The sequence below is a fragment of the Homo sapiens genome, chromosome 17 (assembly GCF_000001405.40).
Source record: "Homo sapiens chromosome 17, GRCh38.p14 Primary Assembly".
In the NCBI taxonomy this organism is placed as follows: Eukaryota; Metazoa; Chordata; class Mammalia; order Primates; family Hominidae; genus Homo; species Homo sapiens.
The window spans coordinates 45,239,555-45,262,364 of record NC_000017.11 but is presented as its reverse complement, the minus strand read 5'-3'; the positions used below and the strand labels follow the sequence as shown (position 1 = coordinate 45,262,364).

At 56.4% G+C, this 22,810-nt stretch overlaps 2 protein-coding genes, 2 long non-coding RNA genes and 1 pseudogene across 12 annotated transcripts in view, besides 10 other annotated features; 3 read left to right on the top strand and 2 right to left on the bottom strand.

Moving 5' to 3' along the window:
- Positions 1-439: part of an enhancer, noted in NCBI's record as "H3K4me1 hESC enhancer chr17:43339293-43339898 (GRCh37/hg19 assembly coordinates)", that runs on past the window's edge. NCBI's record gives its function as "activates a minimal SCP1, AML or CMV promoter by ChIP-STARR-seq in naive H9 embryonic stem cells {active_cell/tissue: H9 hESC(naive)}" and the evidence as "EXISTENCE:reporter gene assay evidence [ECO:0000049][PMID:30033119]".
- MAP3K14-AS1 (MAP3K14 antisense RNA 1) overlaps positions 1-14,440 on the bottom strand; it is a 20,706-nt gene extending 6,266 nt beyond the window's left edge. For 2 of the 5 annotated variants that reach the window (NR_024435.2, NR_110324.1), the window contains exon 1: positions 22-285. This is a non-coding gene — a long non-coding RNA (MAP3K14 antisense RNA 1). Of the gene's footprint in view, positions 1-21; positions 286-7,146; positions 7,231-12,732; positions 12,832-14,361 lie in introns of those variants that run through there. The other 3 variants (NR_110325.1, NR_110326.1, NR_024434.2) reach the window with 3 other exon arrangements.
- Positions 268-357: an enhancer, noted in NCBI's record as "active region_12294". NCBI's record gives its function as "activates an Ori minimal core promoter by ATAC-STARR-seq in GM12878 lymphoblastoid cells {active_cell/tissue: GM12878}" and the evidence as "EXISTENCE:reporter gene assay evidence [ECO:0000049][PMID:35858748]".
- On the top strand, positions 271-7,972 carry SPATA32 (spermatogenesis associated 32). 3 transcript variants are annotated; one of them, XM_047435321.1, is made up of 6 exons: positions 271-361; positions 2,270-2,473; positions 5,158-5,212; positions 5,950-5,989; positions 6,292-7,250; positions 7,852-7,972. In XM_047435321.1, the coding sequence occupies exons 3-6, from the start codon at positions 5,208-5,210 to the stop codon at positions 7,937-7,939; spliced, it is 1,092 nt and encodes a 363-aa protein (XP_047291277.1). In that variant the 5' UTR covers positions 271-361; positions 2,270-2,473; positions 5,158-5,207; the 3' UTR covers positions 7,940-7,972. The 3 variants fall into 3 exon arrangements, with proteins under 3 accessions (XP_047291277.1, NP_689556.2, XP_047291278.1); NM_152343.3 differs by lacking the exon at positions 2,270-2,473; XM_047435322.1 differs by lacking the exon at positions 2,270-2,473 and having other exon boundaries at positions 5,127-5,212.
- Positions 388-437: a silencer, noted in NCBI's record as "silent region_8618". NCBI's record gives its function as "represses an Ori minimal core promoter by ATAC-STARR-seq in GM12878 lymphoblastoid cells {active_cell/tissue: GM12878}" and the evidence as "EXISTENCE:reporter gene assay evidence [ECO:0000049][PMID:35858748]".
- Positions 508-627: a silencer, noted in NCBI's record as "silent region_8617". NCBI's record gives its function as "represses an Ori minimal core promoter by ATAC-STARR-seq in GM12878 lymphoblastoid cells {active_cell/tissue: GM12878}" and the evidence as "EXISTENCE:reporter gene assay evidence [ECO:0000049][PMID:35858748]".
- Positions 5,703-6,463: an enhancer, noted in NCBI's record as "H3K4me1 hESC enhancer chr17:43333269-43334029 (GRCh37/hg19 assembly coordinates)". NCBI's record gives its function as "activates a minimal SCP1, AML or CMV promoter by ChIP-STARR-seq in naive H9 embryonic stem cells {active_cell/tissue: H9 hESC(naive)}" and the evidence as "EXISTENCE:reporter gene assay evidence [ECO:0000049][PMID:30033119]".
- On the top strand, positions 11,236-17,179 carry EFCAB15P (EF-hand calcium binding domain 15, pseudogene; annotated as a pseudogene).
- Positions 13,593-13,642: an enhancer, noted in NCBI's record as "active region_12293". NCBI's record gives its function as "activates an Ori minimal core promoter by ATAC-STARR-seq in GM12878 lymphoblastoid cells {active_cell/tissue: GM12878}" and the evidence as "EXISTENCE:reporter gene assay evidence [ECO:0000049][PMID:35858748]".
- Positions 14,053-14,782: a silencer, noted in NCBI's record as "silent region_8616". NCBI's record gives its function as "represses an Ori minimal core promoter by ATAC-STARR-seq in GM12878 lymphoblastoid cells {active_cell/tissue: GM12878}" and the evidence as "EXISTENCE:reporter gene assay evidence [ECO:0000049][PMID:35858748]".
- Positions 14,893-14,962: an enhancer, noted in NCBI's record as "active region_12292". NCBI's record gives its function as "activates an Ori minimal core promoter by ATAC-STARR-seq in GM12878 lymphoblastoid cells {active_cell/tissue: GM12878}" and the evidence as "EXISTENCE:reporter gene assay evidence [ECO:0000049][PMID:35858748]".
- Positions 15,047-22,810, bottom strand: part of FMNL1 (formin like 1) — a 25,434-nt gene continuing 17,670 nt past the window's right edge. The window contains exons 12-27 of one of the 2 annotated variants that reach the window (NM_005892.4): positions 21,740-21,889; positions 21,135-21,236; positions 20,731-20,983; positions 20,219-20,518; positions 19,900-20,024; positions 19,045-19,247; positions 18,340-18,574; positions 18,121-18,189; positions 17,466-17,546; positions 17,257-17,386; positions 16,949-17,112; positions 16,632-16,733; positions 16,392-16,487; positions 16,035-16,155; positions 15,761-15,860; positions 15,047-15,498 (exon numbers count right to left, since the gene is read on the bottom strand). In NM_005892.4, coding sequence (NP_005883.3) covers positions 15,769-15,860; positions 16,035-16,155; positions 16,392-16,487; positions 16,632-16,733; positions 16,949-17,112; positions 17,257-17,386; positions 17,466-17,546; positions 18,121-18,189; positions 18,340-18,574; positions 19,045-19,247; positions 19,900-20,024; positions 20,219-20,518; positions 20,731-20,983; positions 21,135-21,236; positions 21,740-21,889 — 2,223 coding nt within the window. In that variant the 3' untranslated portion in view covers positions 15,047-15,498; positions 15,761-15,768. The remainder of the gene's footprint in view (positions 15,499-15,760; positions 15,861-16,034; positions 16,156-16,391; positions 16,488-16,631; positions 16,734-16,948; positions 17,113-17,256; positions 17,387-17,465; positions 17,547-18,120; positions 18,190-18,339; positions 18,575-19,044; positions 19,248-19,899; positions 20,025-20,218; positions 20,519-20,730; positions 20,984-21,134; positions 21,237-21,739; positions 21,890-22,810) is intronic. The other variant, NM_001411128.1, reaches the window with a different exon arrangement.
- Positions 16,717-16,887: a silencer, noted in NCBI's record as "fragment chr17:43322845-43323015 (GRCh37/hg19 assembly coordinates)". NCBI's record gives its function as "represses an EF-1alpha promoter that drives an FKBP-Casp9 reporter gene in an ReSE screen in K562 erythroleukemia cells {active_cell/tissue: K562}" and the evidence as "EXISTENCE:reporter gene assay evidence [ECO:0000049][PMID:32094911]".
- Positions 20,485-21,203: an enhancer, noted in NCBI's record as "H3K4me1 hESC enhancer chr17:43318529-43319247 (GRCh37/hg19 assembly coordinates)". NCBI's record gives its function as "activates a minimal SCP1, AML or CMV promoter by ChIP-STARR-seq in primed H9 embryonic stem cells {active_cell/tissue: H9 hESC(primed)}" and the evidence as "EXISTENCE:reporter gene assay evidence [ECO:0000049][PMID:30033119]".
- FMNL1-AS1 (FMNL1 antisense RNA 1) overlaps positions 20,595-22,810 on the top strand; it is a 3,753-nt gene continuing 1,537 nt past the window's right edge. The window contains exons 1-2 of one of the 2 annotated variants that reach the window (NR_186808.1): positions 20,595-21,254; positions 21,761-21,875. This is a non-coding gene — a long non-coding RNA (FMNL1 antisense RNA 1). Of the gene's footprint in view, positions 21,420-21,760; positions 21,876-22,810 lie in introns of both variants that reach the window. The other variant, NR_186807.1, reaches the window with a different exon arrangement.

Here is a 22,810-nt window from a genome sequence, read left to right as displayed (position 1 = left end):
GTCCAGCACAGCCAGGCTTACCTGCCGCCTGCCTCTCGCTCTAGGCCCGCTGCGGAAGCGCGAGCCCCACCCCCGAGGTCTTCGGAGAGGAAGGAGTTCTGGCTTCGGGCCCGCAGCCTTCGGAGGACGCCTCACTCGGGCCGTCCCCCGTCCGCCCGCCCGAAACCTAAATGCGGCTCCCTGCCTGTGGGGTCGCGGCGGGGACGTCACAGAGGCGGCGACATCACAGGCACCGGCGCCTCTAATATTTCCAGCGCCCACCAGTCCCTCAGCCAAAGAGCACACTGGAGGCGGAGAGGCAGCATCCACCAGCCCGCTCCCCGCCTCCAGGACAGAGCCTCGGTCTGCATGGGGGTGACAGGTGGGAGCGGCCGAGCGCCCGGGGGCGAGGGTTGGGGCAGGCGGGGAAAGCGAAAGTGAGAGGGGGAGGGGCGCGAAGGGGGCGGTCAGGAATCCGCCCAGGGCCCGTTCCCCTGCTCCCAAACCCCCGGCACCTGAAAGGCAGGTCGACCCGCCGCCAAAGCCCACCCGGTGCCCCTGACTACGGCTCCCAGCCTCAGCCCCTGCGCGGTGCACACCCATGTGCTCTCACGGACACGCATGCGCGCCTTGGAGTAGGGACTGCAGAGTCAGTGGTTCTTGAAGGGGTTCTGAGACCACAGAAGGAGCAATGGCCTTGTGCACAGGAAACGACTCATGAATTATCCTGAACTGCAGATCCAAAAAATCACATCCAGTTGTCCCTCCTTGATGCTTGAGGCTTTGCAGGGAGGAGCGGCAGTCTTCAGCACATTTTTACGGAGCGCTTCGTTGATGCCTTGTACTCTTCTCTGAACCAATGAGCAAAGATGTTTGCCCCCAGTGCCCTGTGTCTCCCCTTCCCATAGGGGCGTCAGATCCCCCACTGAAATGGTGGCTTTCTTTTGGGGATCCTCTCTCCCAGAAGGGCATGGGCCAGCATTAAAAACGGTCAAAAATTAGGTGGGCATGATGGCTCAACGCCTGCAATCCCAACACTTCGGGAGGCAGAGGTGGGAGGATCACATGAGGCCAGGAGTTCAAGATCAGCCTAGGCAACATAGCGAGACTTTGTCCTCTACAGGAAATGTTTAAAATTAGACAGGTGTGGCGGCATGAGCCTGTAGTCCCAGCTACTTGGGAGGCTGAGCTGGGAGGCTCACTGGAGCCCAGGAGTTGCAGTGAGCTATGATGCTGCCACTCCAGCCTGGGCCACAGAGCAAGACCCTGTCAAAAAAAAAAAAAAAAAAACCAGAGGTCGGGTGCAGTGGCTCACGCCTGTAAGGTAAAACGTAGATTAGACAGCCAGGTCTGTCATGGAGAGGATTACACTGATTATTTGAATTGGGCTTTCAGGCATGAGTAGGACTTTGCCAGAAGAAGGCTTTCCAGGTATAAGAAATAGCATTTGCAAAGGCACTGGGTGCAGAAAGGCCTGCGGTACTCTGGGGGTAGCTTCGGCTTAGGGTGAGGGACAGGAAGCTGGATGCCAAGAGATGAAAAATGAAGGTAGAGATCAGACCAAGAGGCCACATGGAGTCTGGGGGTAACCGGAGACAAGTGAGATGTAGCAGGCTCACTCTGAGGTCATTGAAAATCCAGGTTGGAGGGGGACATAGTTGCAGTGGTCCCACTGGAAGACTAAAGAGATTTAAGACAGTGCAGTGAGTAGCATCCCAGAGTTTGGAGCCAGCCAGACCTGCCTTTGGGTCGTGTGCTGCTCTTAATAGCTGCATGACCTCATACACGTTTCCTCATCTGTGAGAGGAGAGCCGTGGCCAACTGGGCATAGGGTAGGTATGAAGACTGAATGTGCAAAGCACTCAGCACCAAGTGCCAAAGGGTAGGAAGTCATGGGTGTGTGCTGGCTCTGGTACTGGGAGATGAGGACAGCATCAGGGGTAGGAGGGCAGTAGCTGCGGAGGGAGGAGGAGTCACAAATGACCCAGGTTTCTCATTTGGGTGAAAGGATGAAGGATGAATAGGGCGAGGAGAGTGGGGTATGGAGAGATGACAGACTAGAAAGGGAGACAGGGGTCAGACAGGCAGAACCGTGGCAGCCACACTTAAGAGTCTGGACATACAAGATATGAATTTGAGGTAAGAAATTAGGCCAGGCATGGTGGCTCACGCCTGTAATCCCAACACTCTGGGAGGCCAAGATGGGAAGATCGCTTGAGCTCAGGAGTTTGAGACCAGCCTGGGCAACATACTGAGACCTCATCTCCTTTTTTTTTTTTTTTTGAGACAGAGTCTTGCTCTGTCACCCAGGCTGGAGTGCAATGGCACCATCTCGGCTCACTGCAACGTCTGCCTCCCGGGCCGAAGCCATCCTCCCTATCAAAACCTAACAAAGACATTACAAGAAAAGAAAATTATACACCGATATCCCTCATGAATATGCATGTGAAAATTCTGAAAAAAAGCCAATCAGATTCAACAACATAGAAAAAGGGTAATATATCACAACCAAATGAGGTTTATCCCAGTAACGCAAGGCTGATTTAACATTTTAAAAAATAAATTTATAGCTGGGCATGGTAGCTCACACCTATAATCTAGCACTTTGGGAGGCCACGGCAGGTGGATAGCTTGAGCCCAGGAGTTCAAGACCAGCCTGGGCAATATAACAAGACCCATCTCTACAAAAAATACAAAAATTAGCTGGGGGTGGTGGTGAACACGTGTAGTCCCAGCTACTCCAGAGGTGAGGTGGAAGGATCACTTGAGACAGGGAGGTTGAGGTTGCTGAAATTGCGCCACTGAACTCCAGCCTGGGCAACAGAGTGAGACCCTGTCTCAAAAAAAACAATGTATTTTACCATAAACAGAATATAAAAATATAAAAGAATTATCACTCAAATAATATAACATTACTCATATGTTAATGTATTATAACGTATGTTATGTATAACATATATAATATCATATTAAAGAAAAACCATATGATCATCTCAATAAATGCAGAAAAAGCATTAGGCAAAATCCAGCATCCATTCCTAATTAAAACTAAGCAATCTAAGAGACGAAACTTCACAAAGATGCCCAAGCTAATGAAAGGCATCATGAAGAAACCTACAGCTAGCATCATCCTTAATGGTGAAAGGCTAAACACTTTCCCCTAAGCTCAGAACGAAGCGAGGATGTACACACGCACTCCTACTCAACATTGTATGGAGATTGTCCCCAGTGCAATTAGGCAAGTAAAGAAAATAAGAGGAACCAGATTGGGAGGGAAGAAGTAAAAGTGTCTTGACTCACACACATTATTGTCTATGTAGAAAATCCGATAGAATCTAAAAGAAAAAAAAAGCTATGAGAACAAATAAGATTTTAGTATAGTTGCAGGATACAAAAGATGGATATATTTCTGTATACTAGCAACAAACCACTGGAAATTGAAATTATTTCGGCCAGGCACGGTGGCTCATGCCTGTAATCCCAGCACTTTGGGAGGCCGAGGCAGGCAGATCATTTGAGGCCAGGAGTTTGAGATCAGCCTGGCCAAAATGGTGAAACCCCATCTCTACTAAAAATACAAAAAGTGAGCTGGGCGTCGTGGCGCATGCCTATAATCCCAGCTGCTCAGGAGGCTGAGTCAGGAGAATCGCTTGATCTCAGGAGGCGGAGGTTACAGTGAGCCGAGATCACACCACTACACTCCAGCGTGGGTGACAGAGTGAGACCCTGCCTCAAAAAAAATTATTTCAATTATTTCATATACTGCAGAATATCACTTGAATCCCTAATAGAACATTCTCAAGTCAGGCAACGAGGTCCCAAGCTGAGTCAATGTCTGACTTTTTCTCCCAGCCCCCAGTGCTGTTAAGAGGCTCACACAACAGTAATTTCTTCTCCTGTCCATACCCAGCTGCCGTTTATGGAGGGGTTGAGGCTGTGGGTGTTGATTAAACTGCCCAGGGAAATTCTGTAAAGGGAGCAAAGGCCCTGAGGTCAGAAGCCTGGGGGAACAGCAGGACCTGGGACAGGGGGAGTTGGAGAGGGAGAAGAGAGACACGTGAGGAAGCCAGGGAAGCATAGTGGTCAAGGAGGTGGAGGGTTCTGAAGAGATCATTGAGCCGGCCACTCTGCTGATACATCCCCCAAGACCAGGCTGAAGCAGATGGTCCCAATCCCAAGACCAGCCATGCAAGGACCCCTCCCTCCAGCCACTACATCTCTAGGAAGAGACCGCAGTACATTCTCATCCTTCCAATATGATCCTGGGAGCGATTCTTCCCAGCCAGAGCCAGGGCTGTCACTTCCTGCCATACCCCAGGCTGATGGGGACCCACCTTGCATGATGGCAGGGTTGTCATGATGGCCCCACCATCAACCCCTATGCATGGCCCTGGGTAGCAGAGAACAGGGCAGCCTGGTGCTTCCCACTCCCACAGGGTGAAGAAACAGCTTCTGCAGTAAAAGATACAAGCCTCCAGGGAGGGGTTTGGGGTTGCGGACGTTCCCAAGGAGTCAGTCTCCCCTGCAGAGGGTGATCTGAGCTCATAAATCGTCGGATAGGTGCTAGCACCACCTCAGATTACACACCTGGGGTGCAGGCCTTGGCCTGGAGTCAGTGATGGATGACCCAGAGAGAGGAGAGGAAGCCGGCAGAGGAGCAGGAATGGGGAGATGGGGGAGGTTCACATGGGGCGTTATTGGGACTCCACGCAGTTACAGGGTCCTGGGAGTAGCCGGTGGGGGCAGGGAGTTAAGAGTTTCCTGAGTCAAGCCTGCATTCAAGTCATCACTTCAGCTATGTTCAGCTGGGGGACCTTGGGCAAATGGACCTGTCCTAATTTTTTGTGTTGAATCAGTGAGATAAAGCAGGTAAAGTGACCAGGCTATGGAAGCGCTCTGTCATGTTCAGGGTACTGTTAGCAGTCACGGTTTTGGGGGATGGAGATGGAACCGGGAGCCTCCGAGGAGGCAAGGCACAGACGGAGAGTGGAGGGAGCAGGACTGGAGGATAGGAATGGCGACCGGCTCGGGAACAAGGAGAGCGGGGCAGGACGGTGAGGGGGAATAGCAGCCGGGAAGAGAGAAAAGAAGGGCAGGAAAAGGGGGCTGGCTCCGGAATCCCTCTGGGACTGTCCTCTACCCTGCAGCTCCCTGCCCTCACCTCCTTTCCCCTGTCAGGTGCCCATGGATTTCCATGCTGCGGCAAAGGGTCAGTGGAGGTTGCAGAGATGCGGTGAGAACCATCCTCAATCAACGTAGGGCCTCCCCCGAGCCCTCCAGGACCTCCGACCTCACCCCCAGCCTAGGATCCCCCAGCCTAGGATCTCCCTCCCTTCTGCCATTTCCAAAACCTCCCCGGGGCCAGTGTCCAGGCCAAAAGGCTGGGGAGGGCGTGGGGCGCCTATCCTCCCACTTCTGTTTATGCCCTCAGCCCCTGGCATGAGAGGAAGACTGAGGGGTGGTGGGGCACACCCAGGGACAGGATAGGACCTGACCCCTCAGAGCTGCCTGGCTTGCTGAGGACAGAGCTGCTCAAGGCGGGGGTGGGCAGGCACTTGAAGAAAGAGTGGGCAGGTGGGTGGGAGGACATTGCTCTGGGGCTCCCCTGCTGGGGACTAGTGTTCTGGGCACTAATCCTCGAAGTGAGTTGCCCCAGCTCACCTGCAGTGCTTGATAAAAATGAGATTCCTGGGCCTTACCTCCAACCAACTGGATTCCTCTTTGGGGGTGGGGCATGAGTTGGCAAGCAGCTTCCTAAACTCACTAAAGTTTCAGAATACAACCGCAGACTTCCTGGTGGCAGTGGAGTGGGACAGCAGGGGAGTGGATGAGCTGGTGGCGGGGTGGTCGGCGGGAGGTGCATCGTGCCAGCTTCTGTTACAAGGCAGAGGGCTTTGAGGGCCCCAGAAACCCCCTTCCCGCTGAAGCCCCACAGATCCCCATCACCCACTCTGTCTTCTTCTGTCTTAGAGATGACTTAAGTCAACACCAGATACAAGAGGAACAGGAGGTAAAAATGGGAGTGTCCTCTTACGGGGAGGTGGTAGGCAAGCGGCAGGGCTCTTCCCTAAGTCCCCACCAGCCCCTACCCTTGACAATCCTGGGACCCTAGTACCAGGCCGGTGTGGGTACACCCACACACACACCCCCTCACCGGGCAGGTCTCTGAGAGGAGGCAGGCATGGGGTTAGGGGGCGGGGGGAAGACAGCAGGACCCAGGGCAGGGGTGGGGCAGGGACTCGGTGCCAGGGAGGGCCTCAGGGGCAGGACCTCCCGCTCCTGCCTCCTCAGCTTTGAGTTGAAACATTTCAGCTGGAGGCAGACATGCTAGAGCAGAAGCCCCAACTCCAAGTGGACCTGGACCTGGACCCAGACCCAGACCCAGACCCAGAACTGGAGATCGGACAGGTGCCGGCTTTACTGGAGTCAGAGCTATACCCAGCCCTCAAGCTTGAAGCTGAGCTGGACACGGAAGCCAACTCGAACGAGGAGTCTGACTTTGAAGAACCCATGCAGCTGGTATGCAAGATAGAGTCCGTCCACTCCAACATGGGGCTGCCCACGCCACAGACCTTCAGACCGTGGAGTCTGAATTCAAACTGCCGGAGTTTCACGGAGGAGAACCACGTGTCTGCCTGCCATCACTCCATCAGTGCGCAGACCTCCAAGCACCTCTTCTGGGCAAACAAGCTCATCCAGGCCTCAGAGCACAGCCTGCAGCGGGCCATCAACATGCAGCTCAACAATGGCAGCGCAGGCCAGCCCATCAGATCCCCGCTCCGGGAGGCCATCCCCACCAACGCCCTGTGCTCCGAGGAGCAGCTCCAGATCCCTGATGCCCACTCAGCTCCTCCAACCACAAGCTCCCAGGCACCAAGCCCCCTCCTGTCCTCAGATCTCCCGCCACCCATTGACCTGACAGAGCTAATCACCTTTGCATCTTCCCTGGCCATGGCCTCCTCCAGCAGGATGGACCTGCCCAGTTTGGAACACATGATGAAAGCTCCACCCCAGGAGGCTCTGGAGCCTTCCACAGAGCCCCTCCTGACCACTGTGGAGGAGCGAGAGCCAGAAAATCACGCAGAGACCCTGCCAGAGAAACCACGCGAAGCCAGAGCACCACTGAAATCTTGGAGTCAGGAAGACAAGAACTTCGCTCAATCTTACTTTGACTTCAGCAAGCCGGGGATCAAGAGGGCCACCATCAAAGGGCAAATCCAGCTTCTCCAGCCACCAGCCACGTCCCCTCTGCTGCAGGGAAGCAAGGAAGAGTGAGTGAGGCCAGCCCCGCAGCTCCCATAGAGGGGCTGTGCTAGAACGTGGCAGGGGTCCTCACACAGCTGGGTAGGGGTGGGGAACAGTGGAATGAGGGCCTGGGAGCAGGATGTGGTGGGCTGTGACGCCTCCACCTCAGTGACCTCATAAAGGCTGTTGGAACGAGGTTCCAGTGGACTGAGGCGCAGAGCCAAGGCGAGGGCTGGAGGAGGCCTGGGGACCAAGGAGGGTGGGCACAGGGGCCTGGGTTCAAAATGGGAAGGACCACACTGGCATTAGGCGGCTTTCCACCCTGGGGGTCGGGCCTCACCAAGGTTGGGAATGCTCAGGCTGGGGTCTGCCCTGTTGAAAGCCTGTTGGCCCCAACCCTGGGGTCCAGGACACTTTTCTTGAGGGGAGAATGAGGGTGCAGGGCTCTCCAGTACACCTTGCTTTCTGGTAGTGAATGGACACAGAATGTAATCTCAGCTGCCCAGACGCGGGCAGCAGCAGAAGACCCCTTACCCCCAGCGACCTCTTCAGAGGGGCCTCTGGGCTCACCCCTCTCCTTCAACCACCCTCTGGGGCCCAAGTGACACTCTCTCTTTTGTGTTGCAGCTCAGTGCCGCCAGGAAAAGAGAAAGAGAATCCATTATTGGTGAAAATCCATTTTAAGCTGTCAGCCCCCACAATCCCAGAGAAATGACTAGACAGAACCAATAAAGCCTCCAGTGCTGGCCGTCGGCTTAGACTTTTGTGCAAATGCCCCTGGGCCAGGGAGCCCTCCTGGCTGCTGTGTCCTCGTCTGTTTTTTAGGGATGCCACCCCATTTTTTAGCTGCCCCAGCTCCACCTGCCCCCAGAGGGCAATGCCACCCTTGTCCTGGCCACCCATCTCTCACCTGCCCACTCCCCAGGGTCAATTCCCTTCACTCCCTCCTGGCCAGCCCTCTAGGCCAGCAGAAAGACTTGTGGCTGGTCTTGGGGAGACCTCGGTGTCCTGTGAGGCTTCCATTTCTTAGACTGTGAAATGAGGCTTCCTCTTGGCCTGAGGCCAGGGATGTGTTGGGATCATCTGAGGAGATGGCCTTCTGGGCGTGGACTGGGCAGGTGAGAAAGTGGGTCTGAGGGGGTTCTTCCTGCGCTCTTCATGGGGAAGAGCTGGCATGGGGAAGGGATGGTGTCCAGGAGCTTGAAGGGGAGGAAAATGAGGCCGAAGAACTGGTCCTCCAGAGGGTCACAGGCTGGAGCTAGACGTACCTCCAAATGCAGGAGAGCCATAGATCACCCAGACATGTGCACACAGACACCACCAGCTGCCCGGCACATCACACATACAGCACCCACACACAGAGGAAGCAGCACATGCCACACATGCCCATGTACACATGTGCCTGTGACAGTCGCATGTACCAAACATGCACACAAAGCCGGGTGTGGTGTCTCACGCCTGTAATCCCAGCACTTTGGGAGGCAGAGGCCAGCAGATCACTTGAGGTCAGGAGTTCGAGACCAGTCTGGCTAACATGGTGAAACTCCGTCTCTACTAAAAATACAAAAATTAGTTGGGCGTGGTGACATGCATCTGTAGTCCCAGCTACTGGGGAGGCTGAGGCAGGAGGATCTCTGGGGTCCGGGAGGCAGAGGTTATAGTGAGCTGAGATTGCACCACTGCACTCCAGCCTGGGCAACAGAGCAAGACTCTCAAAGAAGAAAAAAAAAACACACATGCACACAAATGCACACTCCTCCCACCCAGGGTTTGGCCTTGGAGGCCCAGAAGGCAGGCAGTATAGACTGGCTTCTGGGAGAGTAGAGACGGCAGCAAAGGAAGGAAGGGGATTCGGAGTATGCGGATGGACAGGGATGTGGACAGGGAAGCCTGGGGGAGGGAGAATGGGAGGCCGCGCCATGGCCTGGCCTCAGGTTCCCTGCTAAGCAAAAGCCCAGCCTTGTGGATCTTCAAGAGCCTGCCCAGCTTTCGAACGGGCCAAGGAGAGAGATGCCCAGGGCCTGGAGGGTGGGATTAGGAAGGGGTGAGCAGTTCAGAATGGGCCAGGGCCAGCAGGAGAAGCGGGAAGGAGACTGGAAGGAGGGACAAGGAGGAGCTGCAGAGGTAGGTGTCTTGGGGGCGGTGGGGGACTGAGCCAGAAGCATCACTGGACTCTCAGGACTCATCTTTCCTTAGGTTTTTTTAAATTAATAGACTTTATTTTTTAGAGCAGTTTTAGGTTTGCAGCAAAACTGAGTGGAAAGTACAAAGAGTTCCCATGTACCCCTGTCCCCACCCACATACAACCTCCCCCGCCATGGACATCCTGCAGTGGTACATTTGTTACAACTGATAAACCTACACTGACTCATCATCATCACCAAAAGGCCACAGTTCACAATGGGGTTCACTATTGGTGTTCTACATTCTATGGGGGTTTGTTGCTGTTTTTGAGACGGAGTTGTGCCCTGTCACCCAGGCTGGAGTGCAATGGCGTGGTCTCAGCTCACTGCAACCTCTGTTCACCTCCTGGGTTCGAGCAATTCTCCTGCCTCAGCCTCCCAAGTAGCTGGGACTACAGGCACCCGCCACCATGCCCATCTAATTTTTGTATTTTTGTAGAGACGGGGTTTCACCATGTTGGCCAGGCTGGTCTTGAACTCCTGACTCTAGGTGATCCACCCGCCTTGGCCTCCCAAAGTGCTGGGATTACAGACGCGAGCCACCACACCCGGCCCGTTCTATGGGTTTTGATTGTAGTATGATACAGAGTCGTTTCATTGCCCTAAAAATTCTGTGCTCTACCTGGCCCCTCCAACTCCTGTCAACAACTGGTCCTTTTACTGTTGCCACTGTTTTGCTTTTTCCAGAATGATTTGGAATCATACGGTATGCAGTTTGTTTGGGTTGGCTTCTTTCACCTGGTAATACATGTTTAAGGTTCCTCCTGTCTTTTCCTGGCTTGATAGCGCATTTATTTTTAGTGGTGAATACTATTGCATTGTCTGGGTGTATCACTGTTTATTTATCCATTCACCTACGGAAGGACATCCGGGTTGCCGCCAAGTTTTGGCAATTATGAATAAAGCTGCCATAAACATCCATGTGCAGGTTTTTGTGTGGATATGAGTTTTCAAAACATTTGGATAAATACCAAGGAGCACGATTGCTGGATCATGTGATAAGGGTGCGTTTAGTTTTGTAAGAAACTGCCAAACTCTCTTCCAGATTGGCTGCACCATTTTGCATTCCCACCAGCGATTAATCAGTTCCTATTGTTCCACATCCTCACCAGCATTTGGTGGTGGTGGTAGTGTTTTGGATTTTGGTATCTGAATAGCTGCATAATAGTATCTCATTGTTTTAATTTGCAATTTGCTGATAAGATATGATGTTGAACATTTTTTCATATGCTTACTTTCATTTGTATATATTCTTTGGTGAGGTGCTTGTTTAGATTAGATTTTTTTTTTTTTTTTTTTTTTTTAGACAAGGCTTCATTCTATCACCCAGGCAGAGTGCAGTGGCTCGATCATGGCTAATTGCAGCCTTGAACTCCTGGGCTCAAGTGATCCTCCTGTCTCAGCTTCCCAAAAAGCTGGGACTAAAGGTGTGCACCACCATGCCTGGCTAAGCTTTTTATTTTTTGTAGAGATGGGATCTTTCTATGTTGCCCAGGCTGATCTCAAACTCCTGGCCTCAAGTGATCCTCCCACCTCAGCTTCCCAAAGTGCTGGGATTAAAGATGTAAGCCACCACACTTGGCTTTGCCCATTTTTTTTTAAATCGGGCTGTTCATTTTCTTACTGTTGAGGGGTTTTATTTTTTTGTTTTTTTGAGACAAGTTCTTTCTCCATCACCCAGGCTGGAGTACAATGGTGCCATCATGGCTCACTGCAGCCTTGAACTTCTAGGCTCAAGCAATCCTCCCTCCTCGGCCATCCAAAGTGCCGGGATTACAGTCCTGAGCACCATGCCTGGCCTTACTGTTGAGTTTTAGGAGTAATTTGCAGAGGGCAGAAGACCAAGAGATCCGAGTCATCACAGAAAACAAACAGGTGACCAGGGCTGGAGGAGGGTCCTTTTCCCTCACCCAGGGTGGGGGGAATCACTGCCCTACCCCTTTCCCCAGAATCCCCTGCATAGAGGGCTGTGGTACAGCTTCCTATGGAGGATCCTGGGAGGAGGTGGAACTGTATACCCACAGGCCTGGTCCCAGGTCCCCTGGAGTCTGAGTACCTGAGTGGGCTGGGTCCCTCTGCCCTCTCTCCTTCCTGCCTCTGAGGCCTCCACAGCACCCTCAAAGGCTGCTCACATGAGATCCAGCAAAGGAGCAGGCTGGCAGGATGCAGAAAGGGAGGCTGCAGCTGCATACTGCCTGGCTGACCCAGATGGAGCCAGCAGCAGCCATGGCCACAAAGGCTGCACACACCATGAGGAGGGCAAGAGAAACCCAGGGCCTTGTGAAGCTGCCCATCCAGCCGAGTCAGGTCCAGATGCTGGGTCTCAGAGGTGAAGGCAGGGACCGGAGGCCAGGCCTCGGGTGCTGGGTTTGGGGTAAAGCCTGGCTAGCCCTGGCATTTCTATGCAACAGATGCAAAGACCTTTCCAACCTCTTTCTTTCTCCTGGGGCAGCTTGACAGGCAAGACACCCCAGCAGCTGGCAGGTGAGGGCCCCAGGACTGGGAGTAGAGAAGAAAATTAGGGGGTGCTCAGGGAAAAACTACAAAGGATTGCCTGCCCTGAAGCTGGGGTCACTGCAAGAAGCCAGTGTTTGCAACCATCCCTCCATGCTTGTCTGATTTGCTCATCTCTACAACCCTAGGGCTCACAGTCTTGTGTGTGTGTGTGTGTGTGTGTGTGTGTGTGTGTGTGTGTGTGTAGGAAAGGAAAAGAAAACTCAGTGGATTGGTAGATAGGTGAATGCAGGTATTTAGATGGATGGATAGATGGATGATGAACAGGATGGAAAAGAAGGGAGAAGGTAAAGAAGGAGAAAAAATGGGGGGAAAAATCTGAGTTCCCCTGCCTCATGGGGTCTAGGACCATAGGGGTAAAGGCAAAAGAAACTACAGCCCCAGTGCTCCCCCAAACAACATGTCCTGATATTGGCAAGGGCCCCTCAAAGCAGAATCACTTTATTCATCATCAACAATGGTCAGTGCCTACTACATGCCAGGCACCAGCAGGGCTCCAAGACACTGTAGCTTCAGAGCCAGACTGCCAGATGTGACCTTGGACATGAGTTTTGAATGTTTTTCAAACATGAGTTTTGGACATGAGGACTGGATGGGCACATAACATGTACCAACACACAACAGCCACTGCTACTCTTTATATTAAAAGTTATAGGCCAGGTGTGGAGGTTGATGTCTGTAATCCCAACAGTTTGGGAGGCCAAGGCGGGAGGATTACTTGAGCCCAGGACTTTGAGACCAGCCTGAGTAACATGGCGAAACCCCATCTCTACAACAAATTAAACAATAAGCCAGGCGTGGTGGCACGTACCTGTGATCCCAGCTACTCAGAAGGCTGAGGCGAGAGGATCGTTTGAGCCTTGGGAGGTTGAGGCTGCAGTGAGCCGAGATCTCGCCACTGCACTCCAGCCTGGGCAAAGAGTGAGACTCTGTCTCAAAAATAAATAAATAAATAAATAAAAATTTAAAACACCCAGGAGGGAGTTGGAATGAGCCAAGTCGTCAGTTCCACCTGAGTTAGAGTGGGCAGCTCTCAGGGTTCTTGTGTGGGTGGTTCGTCTTGCCACCTGTCCCCTCTACCCTCAGCCTTCCAGGATATCTTCAAACTCTTCAGCTCCAGCCCAACAGGCACCGTGGACATGCACAGCATGAAAGTTGCCCTGGGCAATGTGGGTATCCAGCTGAGTCCACAGGAGACGTTCGAGGCTCTGCGGCAGGCAGACTTGGATGGTGGGTGCCCCAACCCTGTCTTCTTGTCCCCTCCCACCTCCAGGCATTCTTTTAAAGAATGCCTCCCCTTCCCACAAAATCCTGGCCTGGTCCTATTTTAAAGTTCCCTCTTCCAGGAAGCCTGCCCTGACCAACACACCTATCTCATGGCCTGTAAACGTTGCTGCTGTGTTCATCCTAATCCTGATTTGGGAACCCCCAAGGCATGGGCCGTTTCTCCCCCATTGAAACTGGGGTCTGCCCTTGGCTAGAGGCAGGACTAGATTCTCTAACACCTGGAACTGCCAGCAGGCATGTGCAAGGCAGGCCTTCTGCAGGGGGCAGGCACCCACAGCACCCCCTCTCCTCTCTCCCCAGGTGATGGAATCGTAAGCTTCATTGACTTCCTGGGTGTCTTCGATGACAACCACCGCTTGGCTCAGTGCATGGGTGAGGGGCAAGGCTGGTGGAGGAGGGGTGGGCCTGGCTTAGGGGGTGCCCCCTCCTCACCCTCCTTCACCTTTTTTGCCCCCAAGCCGGGTGAGGAACAGCCAGCTCTGTACCCCCAGGGACTGCAGACCCTGTTCTTGGAAATGCTGTTCAAGCTGCTGGGCCGGGGCTTTGTGCCCTCCAAGTTGGCACGGGGGGTGATGAGGTGGGCACAACCATACCAGCTCCTGGGCCCACAATGGGAGGAGCAAACCCTGCCCCCCGCAGGGACCCCTGATATTCCTGCCCTAGAGACGGGAGCCCTGAATTCTGAGTCTGTTTCCTGGGCCCCAAGTCGCCCCAGGACAAAGACAAAGCAGCGGCTTCCGGCCCTGCTTTGGCTTCCGCACCTGTGAGACAGAGAGGGCTGGGAGTGTCTGAGGCGGCCGCCCCGCCTCTCTTCTCCAAGCTACTACTTCAAGAAGCAGCGGGCTCTGCGGCTCAGCCCAGGCTGCGGGGGTTGGGGGGCGCTCCCACGCGGGGCTCGCCTTCTGCCACGCGGCGCGCATCAGCGACCTCTCCAACTAGGAGCTGGCGCGCTCGCTGCACAAACTGCACGAAGTAGGTGCGTCCCCGACGGGGCGGGGGGCGCCGGGACCCGCGGGAGGGACCTCTCCCGGCCACTTACAACCCCCGCCCTCGCCTCCGACCCCCAGGACCCGTTCTGAGGACCGTCTCCTCCTCCACCTCCTCCCAGGCACCCGCCCCAGGTGCGCGCAGCCCGTACTCTCAGATTCCTAACCTGGAGGGGTTGGCGCTCCCGGAACGCAGGACACGAAGCCCAGCCCCGGGCCCCGGCTTCCGCCTGATCCAGCCCTACTAGCCCGGCCGCCCCAAGATCCCGCCCAGCCCGGGGCGTGTCTCGGCCTAGGTGAGAGCCGGCGGGCGGGGGAGGGACACGCAGTGAGGGGCGGGACAAGTGCCCGGAGGACAGACAGATGGGGCGACACTGGCTGGTGGAGGGGAGGGGCAGGCGAGGAGCGGGGGCAGGCCCGGAAGAAATGGGGACCCGGCAGGCGGTGACGGAGGCGGCACGCGCGGAGATGTAAGGCGAGGTCACTTATGGCGTCACTAAGTACTGGGTAGGGCGAAAGGAAAAGGGGCCAGATGCCCGGGTGGGAGGCAGGACTGGCGCAAATGGGGCGGGGCAGCCGGAAGGAGAACTGCTGCGGGGCTGGCCCGGCGTGTCTAACCCCAGCTGCCCGCTCGCCCCCTCCGGCCTCCCGCAGGGATACTGGGCCAGCCACGAAAGCCTCCGCCCCCTCGAAGCGGGCTCCCTCGCCGCCAACTCTAGTGAAGAAGCAGCCCTTCTCCCCGGCGCCCGCTGGTTTGCAGAGGCCTGCTATGAAGAGCTTGTGCAAGTAAAGCGTTTGCTGAGCGGAAACAGGCTGCGGGTGGCTGCGGCAGGCATGGAGCCGACGCGGATCTTTTGCAAACATCTTTATTAATCTCATATAAAAATAAGGTCCATGGACGGTCCTCGGGGCTGGGGCTTGCGGGGGCGAGGTGCACTTTATAAGTTACAGGCCAGGCTCCTGCTGAGGCTAAGTATGGCTATTTGGAGGGGGCTTTAGGGTGGGTGCTGCAAGCAGCATTTGGGGGAAGGGGCGGGCGATGCTGCCCTCTGTGGCCAAGAGGAGGATGCACCAGCCCGTTTGAGGCGGGCCACAGCGGAGGAGGGGCTGCCCGGCCAGCCGAGCTGAGGACCACCTTCCTTGAGCCTCAGCCTGTCCACGGCCCCACACCCCTGCAGAATCCACCTGCAGAAATAGCGGCTACAGCGAGAGGTCGGAGGTGACCTGCAGTGGGGGGCCCGGGGGACGCCGACGGGCACTGCGGCGGCCTGTGTCTGCGCGGATGTAGGGCTGGTTCCGCAGATCTGGCAGCCGAAGGAGACACATTTACCATTCAGGAGTCCGCCCAGAGCTGGGAGCATGGCTCCAGGGCACAAAGCTTAGCCTCCTAAGGACTCAGATTGTGTGCACATGGCAGGGGTACCGTTTATGTTTGCCAGACCCCTCCACCCCACAAATCACATCCCAGCCATCCACTGGCCCAGGAGAAGGCAGCATGCCTCAGTTCTCCCAAGGGTCCCAGGGGCTGTGGGCAGCGTGGTATCAGAGGCCAGGTCATCTGGGTACCTGAGGGGCTAGAGGGGCATCTCTTCTCCCAGGCTGGCCTCACAGAGGAGCCGGGATGTCCGCTTGCCGGTGCGGGCCGTGAAGGGCACCGTCTTGATCACTGAGTGGGGGTGGGGCAGGTGAAGGGGAGTAGAGAAAGGAAAAAGGAAAGAAAAACAGAAAAGGTAGCAAGAAGCAGTGTGGCAGCCAGTCCCCCAGAGGATAGCGCATTGGGTCAGAAGAAAGCATAGAAGGACAGACTGAGGATAAGACCAAGGCCTGGCCAAGCCCTTACCTGTGATGATGTCTTCAATGGCCCCATCACGGTCGCTCTCATAAATGAGTGGCTCCTTCTGCTGCCTCCGTTTCAGCTCAGAGATGAGGTCCATCTGTGGCCGCCGGGCCTTTGGCGGTGACTAGGGGGAATTTATAGCTCCAGCTCCAGGATGCCTCCCCATCACCAAAACCCTGGAATATCTGCCTGGTCCCCCACAGCAAGGACAGCTGGCTTGAGCAGAAAGAACCCTTTCCCATCCCAGGCTCCTGGGGCAGGGTCAGTCTGTAACAGTGAGGGTGTGGGGGTGGCACCAGAGGGTGATGAGATGCCATGCATCCCTGCAGCCCAGTACCAAGCCCAGGAGCAGTTGCCTACCTTGGGTGCTGGGGGCTCCCCTTTGCCCGGGGTATCAGCGCCTGCCTCCTGGGCAGCGGCTTCTTTTTTCCACTGTTCCACCTCCTGCTCAGCTTTCTGTGGGCCAAGGCAGTCTCCATGAGGGTGGCCCTCCCTACTGCCCTACCCACCCCCTAAACAGAAGCAGCCCCACCCCTCCGCTGCCCAGTAGAAAGGCTTCAGTGCCCTACAGGGCTCCCAGCCTGCCCCAGACCCGAATACCTTGTAGGCCTTAATGAAGCGGCTAAAGAGGGAGAAGAACAGGCCTGGGGATGTGGTCTTGGGGTTCTCTCCGAAGTACTCCACCACAGACTCAAAGGCCTCCTGTGGGCACAGCCTGTCAGCCCCCCAGCTTAGACCTCTCACAGCCTGTACCCCTCAGGACACTGGCCACCTGATCTGAGCTCCTCCCAGGCAGGGTGGCCCCTCATTCCTGCTGCATCCCCCCAAGGGGTCCCAGCTACGGCCACACCCCTCCAGGCTGTGCTATCTAGTGCTCCTACATGCCCCACCTCCAGGTGAGGCCAGCCCTGGCGCACCTGAGCCGTCTTGCTGTCTGCCAGCAGCTTGTCCATGGTGGGCGAGTTGGCCCTCAGGAACTCCTTGAGCACCATGCAGTCATCCTGCCGCACAAACTCTCTCTGTGTCAACTCTAGGCCTCGCTGCAGGGAGCGCACGTCCGCCAGGACACTGTCCAGGGACACTGGGCCAGGGATGGGGCAGTATCAGGTCAGTGAATCGGAGAGGCAGCCCTCCCACCAATTATATACTGTGGCCCCCTAGCTTTCTCCCAACCTACCCCAGCCCACGGCCCCTCCCCACACCCAAGGATCTGTGTGTCTCCTACCTGAGCCCGCCTTGTCCAGGAAGTGCAGGTCGCTGTGGAAGCCTGTGAGTTGCGGGTACTTCTCAGCAATGACCTTCACCAGGTAGTGCAGCAGCGTCTGCTTGCGATCAGTCGACTTCATCTCCAACAGCTGCACAAGGACCCATTGTAAGCCACAGGCCACCAGCCAGTCCCCAGCCCCAGTCCCCAAGCCAGGGGCCCCTCCTCACCGCATCCAGGCTCTGGAGCCGGAAGCCATAGGCTGCCCCACGCTTGCTACTGTTCATGTAGTTGCCAAAGGCCAGGACAATCTGGGAGAGGCAGGAGAAAGGCTCAGCAGAATGCCAGAGCTGAGGACACCGCTTAAGCATATTGCACAAGGAGGAGAAGAGGTGGCAAGGAGCAGGCCCCACACACTCAGCCCCTACTGTACTCCTGCACAGGCCCCTCAGATCCACAGCACATGTACATGTGTGTACACACAGGTCTCACACATGTGCACGGTTAACACCATGGGCACACCAAATTTTGTCCTCTGCTAGTCCAACCCACAACTTGTTGCCAGCATCCCCTCCTAGTCTGTGTGGTCACTGCCTGTCCACCAGCCATTTCTACTGGTTCCCGGGCCCTCCACTGAGCAGGTGAGGTTGCTCACAGAGCAACGCTAAAGGGGACTGAGCCCTCCGGCAGGGTCCCAGGTGAGCTGCTACAGACACGGCTGCTGTACCCCTTCCCACTCGCCACCACCCTTAGATTTGTCCTTCTCAGCATGTACATGAGAAGTGGGAATGTTATCTTTGTTGCATTGCAGGTGAGCAGGGCCTGGGTCTCCCTCTCACACTATCCAGAACAGGCAAGGGTGGGCCCCACCTCCTGGCCCCTCACCTCCAGGATCTGGCGGAGTTTGTCAGAGGACTTGATGGACATTGAGGCTGCAATGATGGCATTCAGTTGCTGGGGGTGGGATGGGGGAGGTAAGATAAGTTGGAGCCTCCTCCATCTGGAGGCTCAAGTACTCCCAGGTTCCCTGCCGCAGCCCAGGCTGGGAGTTGCCTCCTGCCCATCCCCTCCCAAGTCACACCGCCCTGCCCGCTCCGCCCACACCGGCATGAGCAGCTGGGCTGTGTCCGGGAAGTTGCCCAGGAAGGTGAGTGTGGTCATGCGCTCCGGCAGGCGCGGGATGCGGCTGAAGCATAGCATGAAGCGGTCCTCCTCTGACAGCTCCTCCATTGGCCGCTGCTCCCGCTCAAAGCGGGTGATGAGGCTGCGCTCATACTCTGTGGGCAGGAAGCGCATCAGCAGCTCCAGGAAGTCCAGGCCCAGAGCCTGCAGGTCGTACCTGTGAGAGGGAGGAGAGGGGAGATTGGGCATCATCCATACCCACCAGTCCCTGGGAGCAGGGCTACCCCTGCCTTGATTGAATAAATGAATTTCAGTATTTTCTATTTGCCAACAGCTTCAGAGAGCAAGAGGTAGGAATCCAGAGAAACTGGGAACTGGGAATCCAGAGAAACTGGGAACTGGGCAGCCAGGGTCCCCATCGTACGTCAGCGGCGGACGCCCGGCTGTAAATCCCACAGCCTGGGTGCTCACAGCTAGGCAAAGAGGCAGGGAGGAAGTGGGACATCCTAATTTAGGCATGGACTGAGTTTTCTCCACCTTAAAATGGGGACAAGTTTCCTGGACCAGGGTTGGTATGAAGCCTGATGAAAGAGCTCACCATTGAGGCTCTTTTACTAGGATCTGCCTGACAACCCCAGCCTAGCAAAGGGGCCGGACTGCCCACAAACCCAGGACAGGGACACTCACGCCTCAATGGCTTGGCAGATGCGCTCGGCCCCCAGGTTGCCCTTCCGCAGGGTGATGGCCAAGTTCTTGGCCCGGTTGGCCTCAATGAGTGTCGCCTTGCTGGGGGCCTTCTGGGCTGCCTTACTCTTGAGAGCGCTGAGGTCCAGGCTGGGGCCTTGGGACTTGGTCTTGAACTGTTCCTCAAAATCACTCATGTCTAGCTCCTGAAGGTACAGGGTGAGGAGGCGGAGCTGGGTGGGGCTGGGGTCTGGCACTCTCCTGGCTGAGCACAGTGCTAGAGCCATCCATCTGGCCCTGACCAGGCCACCAGCAGAGAACCAGTAACCCAGCCTGACCACAGGCCCTGATGGGAGGCACAGGGGAAGCACAGGGAGCCTGGAGGAGGAGGGCCGCCTAACCCGGGGGATCCAGACTTGGGGCCACAAGAGCTAAAGGAAGAGCTGAACTGGCCAGCGGTAAAAAGGAGAAAGGAAAAGACATTCCAGGCAGAGGAAACAGAATGGAACAATGGCCTAGAGGCAAGAGAATACATCCTTTTGGAAAACTGGAAGTGGAATCAGGAGGGCTGAAGCCTTGGCTGCCTGTGGGAAAGTGGAAGGAAAGAGGCCTGGAGGCAGAAGAAGTGGGGTGAGGGGAGGCACCCCTCTGCAGGGATGGAGGGGAAGGCGTTTGGGAAAGCAGGATTCTGCCTGTTAGAGGTATTGGTCCAGTCTGGCTTAATGCCCATCCCTGGGCCTCCCCCTCCTCATCTGTGAAATGGCTTGGAGAAAATGACTACCCCCAGGGCCCAGCCTGATCCAGGCAACTCCCCTCTTCCTCCGGTGCCCACATGGGGAGCCAGGCAGGGCCACTCACCTGCAGCACCTTCTCATCATTGAGCTCTGTGAAGACAGTGCCGGTGATCTGGCTGGGTTTCAGTGCCACCCAGTTCAAGAGTGGCATTCGGAACTTAGTCTGGATGGGCTTCTTGGCCTTCACTCCTGGGACGGGGGTTTGGGGGCAGTGGTGAGCACTGGGGGTACTACTGGAGGGAACCTGGGCCCAGGGAGGGCTGATGGGGCAGCCAGGAGGCAGCAGGAGGCCCCCAGGCAGAGGACCCTGGAGGACACTGAGGCCCAGGCCCCTCCCTCCATCTCCCCCCAGCCCCGGGCCCAAGGTGGTCCACTCCACTCACCTGGGCCCAATTCTGAGTCGCGTCTTCCTAGGGCATCAGGAGGACCTCCGGGAGGCGGCGGCGGCGGCGGCGGCGGCGGAGGCACCGGCCCGTCAGTGCCCGGAGGTGGTGGCGGTGGCGGGGGTGGGGGCGGCAGGTCTCCGGGCAGCGGCGGCGCAGGCGGGGGCTCCGGGCTGCCAGGGAGAGGCGGGGCCTGTGGGGGCGCAGAGGGCGGGGCTTCCTGCGGGGAGGGGAGGCCGGGCAGTGGGGGCGGCGGCGGTGGCGCTGCTCCGGGAGCCGGCTCTGCTGCAGGTGCGAGATCTGAGCCAGCGAGGGCGCGGCGTGGGGGAGGCGCGAGTCAGCTCCTTGACTTGGGTGGGCCCCTCTCCGCCTCTCCGCTCTACGCATGCGCTCCTACCTGAGCCGAGCCTACAATCCAAACCTCCCTCGCCCAACTCTGCCCGCCACAGATGCCCCTGGGCTCCCCTCCAGACCCTGCCCCGCATCCCCGCCAGCCTGAAGCTCCTGCGCACCTGGGCTGGGGGAGCCGGTCGGCACCCCCGGAGTCGGAGCATCACCGCCGCTCGGAGTTGCCACAGCGACGGGGAGGATCTCGATGGAGACAGCATCCCCCGGCCCCCGCAGAATACGGATTAACCCCTTCTCCTCCAGCTCCTCCACCTTCAGCTCCAGGGCCGAGGGCCGCGTCGGGGCAGCGGGAGGCGCTTTCTCAGGCTCTGGGGGACGCCTGGAGGGCCCCATGGCGGTCGATTCGCTGAAGCGCTCCTACGAACCCCACGGGAGGGGTCAGTGCCCACCAGCAGGCTCCTTGGCACCAAGCCTCCATCTTCTTCCCGGGGTGGAGGGAGATGTCAAGCCTAGAAGCCTCAGCTGGCCTGTTCTTGGGCGCCTGGCCTACCACCCGCCCCAGCCTCACCCGCAGGGTCTCCAACTCCTTGCGCGCCTGGCTTAGCTGTTTTTCCAGTTCTGCAATCTTGGCCATGGATTCGTTCTCCGCGTCCCGAAGCCGCTCTGTCAGCTGTAGCACCAGCACATGGTGAGCCCCGACCCGCAGCCCGGCACTGGCACCGCCGGTGAGGGGGCGGCATCAGGCATGCCTGCCTGGAAGACTGGGGGAGGCTCCCAGATCCGCTCAGCCCAGGTGCCAAGGGTGGGCCGAGCCTGGCACTCGAACCCAAGCAAATAAGGAGAGGAAACCAAGGTACCAGTGATGCGGGAGGTGGAGGGAGAGGAGGAGACTGAGCTGGGAGGGGCCCCAGGCACCCATTTCAGTTCACCTGGGGTCTGAGCCTGGGTAGAGGAGGGGCCTGTCAGTGAGGGTGCTCACCCACACTCATTGAGAAAGACACCCAACAGATTCAGGCTTTGGATTCAGGCCAGGCTCTGGGGCCAGGCAGGCAGCACCTCCAATGCACAATTATAACACTGTCTGCTGCCCAGTGCCCATGCTTGCGTGGCCCTGTGGCCCGTGTGCCCTGTGGGCCTATGATGTGCTGGGCTGGGGTCAGGACCCACTCTCACCAGCGCCACTTGCTCCTGCAGTTCCTCCATGTGCTCCAGCACAGCGTTCTTGGTCTCTGTGTCCTCCAGCAGCGCCCCCACATCAAAAATATTGTCCAGGTACGCCTGGATCTGCACCTGCAGCTTGTCACTCTCGGTGAGCCGAAGCCTCTGTCCCCCAGATGGAAGGAGTGGGGTGAGGCCTGGTGTGTGTGTGGGGGGGAGTCTTTCCAAACCACCCCCCTGCCACCACTGCCATCCAGAGGAAGGGGCCTGAGCCCTAGCCTACTTTTTCTTTATTTTTTAATATATAATTCACAAATCATAAAATCCATTTTAAAGTGTACAATTCAGTCATTCTTAGTATAGCCACAAGGTTGTGCAACCATCACCATTATCTAATTCCAGAACATTGTCATCAGCCCAAAAAGAAACCCCACAGGCGTCAGCAGTCACTTGCCATTCTCTCCTCCCCCAGTCCCTGGCAACCACTAATCTACTTTCCATCTTTATGGATTTACCCATTCTGGACATTTCATATAAAGCAATCATAGATAGCTGGGCGAGGTGGCTCATGCCTGTAATCCCAGCACTGTGGGAGGCTGAGGCAGACGGATCACCTAAGGTCAGGAGTTCAAGACCAACCTGGCCAACGTGGTGAAACCCCCGTCTCTACCAAAAATACAAAAATTAACCGAGTGTGGTGGTGGGCACCTATAATCCCAACTACTGGGGAGGCTGGAAAATCACTTGAACCCGGGAGGCAGAGGTTGCAGTGAGCCAAGATCGTGTCACTGCACTCTAGCCTGGGCAACAGAGCAAGACTCCATCTCAAAAAAAAAGCAATCATAGAGTACGTGACCTTTTGTGTCTGGCTTCTTTCACTTAGCATGTTTTCAAGGCTCACCCATGTTGTACCATGTGTCAATACTTCATTCCTTCTTGTGGCTGAATAATACTCCATTGCACAGATAGACCCCCCCGCCAGCCTGCTCTCTACCTTTTGTTAATCCTGGCTTTCAAAAATCCAACCCCGAAAGCCCCGCTCCTCCAGGAAACCTCCCAAAGGAAGCAGAGAAGGAGCTGCAGCTT

Coding starts and splice junctions, on each gene's coding strand:
- SPATA32 (NM_152343.3), top strand. Junction 5,213..5,949: donor GTGGAGGTTGCAGAGATGCG/GTGAGAACCATC, acceptor CTTCTGTCTTAG/AGATGACTTAAGTCAACACC. Junction 7,251..7,851: donor CTGCAGGGAAGCAAGGAAGA/GTGAGTGAGGCC, acceptor TTTGTGTTGCAG/CTCAGTGCCGCCAGGAAAAG.